General features: G+C 49.8%; 1 annotated feature.

Annotated features, from left to right (window-relative positions):
• Window positions 4,133–5,007: an enhancer, noted in NCBI's record as "H3K4me1 hESC enhancer chr11:119746757-119747631 (GRCh37/hg19 assembly coordinates)". NCBI's record gives its function as "activates a minimal SCP1, AML or CMV promoter by ChIP-STARR-seq in naive H9 embryonic stem cells {active_cell/tissue: H9 hESC(naive)}" and the evidence as "EXISTENCE:reporter gene assay evidence [ECO:0000049][PMID:30033119]".

The raw sequence follows: 6,880 nt of genomic DNA, 5'->3' as shown, positions 1-6,880 counted from the left end.
TCCTGGCGAACCTGAGGAAGGCTCCGGATTCCCAGAATCCTCTAAGGGCTGGGCACGGTGTGGTTGCAAAGCACGTGGGCTTTGGAGCCAGAAGACTCCAAAGCCTGAGTTCTGCCCCCACTTCTTGCTAGCTATGCAACTTTGGTCAAATGAATCCCTCTGTGCCATGGTGTTTCCATCTGTAAAGAGGGCTAACTGGTAAGAATACCTTCTTGCAGGGCTCCTGGGAGAACTGAATGAACATCAGATCCACTGGGCATTAAAATATATTTTTTAAGTTTGAAAATGTTACTCTAACACCAGGTTTAGGGATCGCCTGTCTTTTCCAAACACTTGCAGTGACCCCTCCCTTACAGGAGAAACAGCACTGAGCATGAGTTTCCTCCCCTCTCCTCTCCTCTCTGCCTTCCCATATCTATGTGTACTCACTAGAGCTGTGTACTCACTAGAGCTGTGCACTCAGGTGAACAACGACCCCCGTTAACCTCTTTGATTAAGTCTTTGTCCTCCTAGTCCCCATCTACACACCTGTTAGCAAGTAGCAAAGGCTGCCCCTACCTCTGGGCAGCCAGCAGCTCCCCTGTGGCCCTGAGCCTGCTAAGGGCTGAGCTGGCCCTTCCCCGAGCTGTCTTTGTTAGCAAGAGATTGGCAGCTTCCTAGAAGCCAGCTGGGAAATGACTTCTGAACCACACCAAAAGGAGCAGAAGGTTAGCAACGCTTTGCCTCTACTCCTCCTTGGGCCCAGGCCTGCCTTTACACCTGCTTCTCAGGGAGGAGTAAACTACTCAGATCCTCCCTCCTCCAGGACAGGCCCTGCCTCTGGAGGGCGGACAGAGATAGTAGGAGAGGAAAATCACTTCTGACCACTGCCAGTCTATTGGCCAGCCAGGTCACCAGCCCCTGTCTCCCGAGACGCAGCTGTAGATGGGAGTTGAGGGAGCAATACCTGCCCAAATCGCTCCTGCTGCTCTCCATGCCATTCGCCTGTCGCTCTCCTCCAAAAAACGTGTCCATCATCTGTGAGCCCCAGGCTTTTCTCTCTCTCTCTGATTGGACCCAGGGACAGAGGAAGCCTGAGAAGATTGAGCAAAGTCTCCTGTTCTCCAGTCCTCCTCCCATTCCTGCTCCCTGAGGGGTACCAGAACCCACACCCAGCCATGTGTGCAAACAAGCATGCACACGCCCTCCAGGGTTCACCCTGCAGATCTAGAGGATCGCTCTGAGTCCTCTTCTCCAGCCCCTGCCTTTGGCCCAGAGGTCACCTGAATCTTTCCCTACATTTATTCTTATTCTTATGTATTTATTTTTAAATTCATGCAAACCAACAACTTGCACCTACATTTATTTTTAAAGACACCCAAGAACAAAGATTTCATCATGTTTAATTATCCTTTAAGACCTGGCTCAAGCATCATAGCCTCTGTGGAGCCCTCCAGAGCCCCCCTCTCCTTCCCCGTGGAGCTTTTTCCCTTGTGTCTCCAGCTGTCTGGTGAAAGTGCATCAGTCACAGAACTTACTCCACGGGGTTGCATTTTGTCACACATCCATCTCCCCCACCACACTGTGTCATCTGTATCTAAAACACAGTGATGACACATGTTAGACACACGTCAATGAATGATGGATGGTTGACTGGACAGATGGATGGAAAGCCTCCTGCCAAGGACTGAATGTTTGTGTCCCCTTAAAATTCCTATGTTAGAATCCTAACCCCCAAGGTGATAGTATTAGAAGGTGGTGATTTTTGGGAGGTGATTAGGTCACGATGGAAGAATCCTCATGAATGGGATTTGAAAGTGGCTCCAGAGAGCTCCCTTTACCCCTTCTGCCATGTGAGGGCACAGTGAGCATACAGCTGTCTATAAACCAGGAAGCGAGCCCTTGCCAGACACTGAACTCGCCAGTGCCTTGATTGTGAATTTCCCAACCTCGAGACTGTAAGAAATCAATTCTGTTGTTTATAAGCCACCCGGTCTATGGTGTTGTCATAGCAGCTCGAATGGACTAAGACACCTCCCTTGCTCATCCTCCCCAGCTTCTAAGATGTAATGCAACACAAGTTCTTCCTGCTGCCTACTCTTTCAACAGTCATAATTCTGTTGGCCTATATGTGTATTTATAACAGAGAATTGGCCAGGCGTGGTGGCTCATGCCTGTAATCCCAGCACTTTGGGAGGCCACGGTGGGTGGATCCCCTGAGGTCAGGAGTTCAAGACCAGCCTGACCAACATGGTGAAACACCATCTCTACTAAATACAAAAGATTATCCGGGCGTGGTGGCGCATGCCTGTAATCCCAGCTACTTCGGAGGCTGAGGCAGGAGAATCGCTTGAACCCAGGAGGCGGAGGTTGCGGGGAGCCGAGATTATGCCATTGCACTCCAGCCTGGCCAACAACAGCAAAACTCTGTCTCAAAAATAAATAAATAAATAAATAAATAAATAAATAAATAAATAAATAAAATAAATATAATAAACAGAGAATCTTCATAGACATCATTGCACCTGATGGGCCAGCTGTTCTTCTTTTTGGAGGAACCCAAGCTTCTTTGAGAATAGAAAAAAATTGTGCACAGAAAAGTGTACAAGTGTACAATTTTGTTAACAAGTGGCTTGCAGATACTACTGAAGGGCACTGAAAGGCATCCATAGACCTAGGTTCAGAATCCCACCGTGATGGTCTACACAGAGACCAATGCTCTTTCCTCTGCATATACAGCCCTGCATTAAGATGGCAGGAAATGAGTGGGCATCTGCCCTTCGTTGAGCTGAAGATCATTTCTGAGACTCTCTCACTCCATTTTTCTTCAAAGTATGTACTTGTTGTTCACAAAGCAAGTGATTTGCCCTAAATTCTATAGTGATAATAAACAGTTTTCTTCTTGAGATTATTCTGTCTTGAAAATGGGGTGTCCAATGCAAGTACTTAGGATTCTCTGGACAGTGCCCCCATTGGAGGCCCTGGGCTGGTTGGGCAGCCACAGAACACATGGAGTGCCCGTCTTGTATGCACCCGGCAAGAGGAGCAGGAGGGCTGGATCCACCCCTCCCTGCCTCCATGAGAGTTCTCTCGGACAGAGTGAGTTTCATGCTTACAGTCTGAGGGCCTCATCGCTGAATCCACCAGCAGAGTCTGCAGCCCGAGGCCCATGGTGGGGGAGGCAGGCGGGGCTCAGCCCTTCTCAGAGGCAAAAAGCAATGAGGTTGAACTTTATATTTATTGATCATGGCTTCTCTAGACCTTTACTATCATTTAACTCTCGCTTCTAACCAAATCCCCTTTATCTCTTTTTGCCAACTTCACTGCCCAAGATCGTTTTGTTCTCACACCGTAAACACATTTCCATTTCAGCGAACAGCGAGCCCAGCCACAGGAGCCCTCTCTGGGTTTATTTTTCTCTCTTATCCTAGAGCCTCCTCATCATGGAAGAGAATTAAAGGAAGGAGCAGCCCAGAAGGAGTTAAACCAACCCAGTAAATAAAGATTGCAAGATCTCAATTTCTGGAACAACTTCAAGCGGTGAAACTGTGGTTGATTTAAAGAGAAGGGCTTTTGGTGTTTGAATGAGTTGGGGGCCTTTCCATATGCAAATAAAAAGACAATCATGTCTCTGGATTATCCAGCAATTATGAACATTTAAAAGAAAATTTAAAATGAACATTTAAAAGAAAATAAATAATAAGAAAGAATAAAGTTGCAACTCAAAGCCTAATCTTCCAGGGGTCCTTCCCTCCCCCTTAGTAAGAGCCACTTCATGCTGGGAGGTGACTCCAGGTAGGAATCATGAACGGAGCAGCCTAAATGGATGTGCCCCTCTCCCTCTAAACTCTCTTGGTGTCTTTCTTATCTTCTAATGAGGTTCAAATGTGCTATACCTCGATTAGGATGAAATCAGAAGGCCCCCTTTCCTCTATCGCCGAACTCTGAGTTAGGCCAGATGAGGAAGGGCGGCTTGAGCACCGAAAGCCTTAGCACATGTCTTCAGGAGTTGCTTCGGCTCCCCGGGGCACACAGCTCTAATCCAAATAGAATCCGTCCACTGGCGGCGCTGGACTCGATTGGGCACAAACAGGATGCAAGTGCGTTCTTTTGACTTAGCCCCTTCCAGCACATTACTCCCTGATCATTGGAGGACCACTTTGGAATATCTCATAGCTTTGGGTGCTACTGTCAGATTTAAAAAAGAAAAAAAAAAAAAGGCCCAAGCCAGTCTACTAGCAAAGCCTCCATCCTATCCTATTTGAAACTGCCACCCCGCAGCCTGGTCTGGCTCAAGTTGGAACCTTGAGGAGGGGGAGGAGGGAGAGTCAGTTCTATCACTCTTCCCTGACTCGTTGCCCCCTCCCCCCAGGTCAGATAGGGTGGGGCTGGGGGAGAAATACGGGCCAGGGAAAGTGTTCGTTGACTTGTAGGATGGTGGTAGGGTACCTGTGCCCTCTGGGCCTGGCAGACTCCACATGCCAAGTCTTTCTCTTGTCCTGGGCTTGTGTGGGTTCTCTCAGCTGTACCTCCCTTGATGTGAGCAAGGCTGCTGAGGAACATCCAACTTCTCCAGTCTTGAAGAAGAGGGCACGCCCCTGCCTCTGGCCTTGGCGTGAGGCCTTCAGACTTCCTGGCATCCCTCTGGGAGATCCACCCCAGCCAGCAGGACACAGGCTCCCTCCCTGCCTTGCCAAACTCCAGGAGAGAAGCCTGTGGGGCCCCCACCCTCTCTGCCCTGCCTTCTCGGGCAGTCTAGCTCTCCTTCAAATTTTCTCAGGCCTCAGCCAAGCTCTCTTGAGGTTCCCTCATGATTAGGGGATGGGAGGCAGCCTCCTCCATCCACAGACAGCTCACTGCAGAGGGGGCCCCCAGGCCTCTTGAGCCTCTCATGTGGTATTTTTATACCCTTGAGGTGGATGAGGAGCCAAAGCTTACAAAACCAGTTTCACAAATTTATTTTTATCTACAAAATATGGGTATGGGGCCTATTTCCAGGTTTGTTGGAAACACGGGCACAGGCCTGGCCCAGTCCAGACACATGGAAGGTGGGGAGCCTGGGTGAGGGGTGGGCCCAACACCACTCTCGGCTGCGGAGCCTCCTGCTTCCTGGGAGCCTGCTTCCCTGCTCAGCCCAGGTGTGTGAGGGTCAAGCTTCTCTGAGCCACTCATTCACCCACAAATGTGCTCTGAGCACCTACTGTGTGCCAGGCATCGCACAGGGCACTGAGGATAAGAACATCCGCAGGGGATGAGACTTGCCCTCTGTGATTTTTCTCTCCTAGTTTTTGAGGAAGGAGAAATGTGTGGATAAATAACTGCATAGCAACATGAGACAGGCACAGTGACAGCCCAGAGGCGGGGCTGATGGAGGGAGGCACCCCAACATCCGTGTCCCTGGGAAGGGCTGCAGGGCATGGCAGGGGCTCCAGTGGCCAGACGCACAGGCATGTGTCCAGCAGGCTGTGGAGATAGACCCCAGGCTTCTCCTCACTGGGATAGGGGCCCTTGAATGGCTGCTTCTTGGTGGGCACATTTGGCCAAGTGGTATGAACATCTGGATAACAACCAGGATGGGCTTCAGTGAAGTTTATTGAATAGCTTCCTTGGGGCGAGGCTGGGCCAGGGGTTTTCTCAACAAACCTGGAAATAGGGTCCCTTACGCCCATTTTGTAGATAAATAAACTGAGATTGAAATACACAAGTGGGTCTCTGCATACAGGAGGCAAATACACTTCTAGCCTGAACAAGTTCCCGGCCTTTAGTTCCCAAGCACCAAGAGCTTTTCACCACTCCCAGCTCTGTCCTCAAAATGCCGTAAAGGAAAGTTTGTCTAACTCCAGGTTCTTTGCGTCTTGTTTAGAGATGGAGATAAAAATGCGTTCATTATCCCATCTGTGGCGGCTTGAATGAGAGAAAAGTGCTTCTGTATCAGGCAACGCAAGCCACCCAAACCTTTTTACTTCTATTAAAAAAACATGAAGGTAATTTGCCGGGATGTGCCTGTCACAGTTTGAAAAACAGAAAGGCCTCTTTTATCTTCTGCTTTATTTACAGGTGCAGCCTGGTGACAGAGGCAAGTGTTTTCCAGAGCAGCGACTTGGAGGGGCCGCAGGGAGACAAAGCAGCTGCCAGACGCTCCCTTGTTTGCTAGAAAGGAGCGCAGCACGGTCACCAGCAGAAGGGGCCGGAAGCTGGCCCCACCCATGGAGGGGGTGGCAGACAGTCTCCCACCCTGCTGAAGGAGCGCTCTAGGCTTCTGCCCATTCCCTCTGACTCCAGGTGGAGAGGGGAGAGCAATTTGGCGGCTCTAGTGGGCTGAGTAAGCGAGAAGCCATCTCGAAGGGCTTTCTGTCTCCAAAAATCTGATAGGTACAAAGCAGGGCCTAAGGGCAGCACTGACATCATCTCCTTTTCTGGAAATTTTAGTGATAGGACATTCATTTCTCTGCGGCTGCCTCCACGTTGTGTCCTCCCCAGAGATATCTTTGGATGCTTTGATGGAAACTCTCTCTTAAGGAGCCCTCTGGGTACTGTTTCAACCTTTATCCCTGTTCACACTGAGAGGACACAAAGGGGCCAGCGGGGCACTCAATTCAGACAAATGAACACCAGGGCAGGATCGAACTGGGCATGAGAATTGGCCATCAGAATTGGCCATCAAAGACACTTTCTCTCTGGGTCAATAACGTTTCTGGGGCCCCAGCTGCAGGAGTCAGGTTTGGCATCAGGGGCGGGAGAGTGATTGTAGATGAGAGGTGATCTCACAAACAGCCTGGTGGAGACAGGCAAGAAAGGAAATCACCACAATGTGAAGCCCAACAAAATAAGTAGGAAGTAGAGGTGTCTGCAACACGTAGCGGGAGTGCAGAGAGGCGATGAATTAATTCCAAGCTGGGAC

Source organism: Homo sapiens, chromosome 11 (assembly GCF_000001405.40).
Source record: "Homo sapiens chromosome 11, GRCh38.p14 Primary Assembly".
In the NCBI taxonomy this organism is placed as follows: Eukaryota; Metazoa; Chordata; class Mammalia; order Primates; family Hominidae; genus Homo; species Homo sapiens.
The sequence above is the reverse complement of the archived record's forward strand: the minus strand, read 5'-3'. Positions and strand labels throughout refer to the sequence as shown.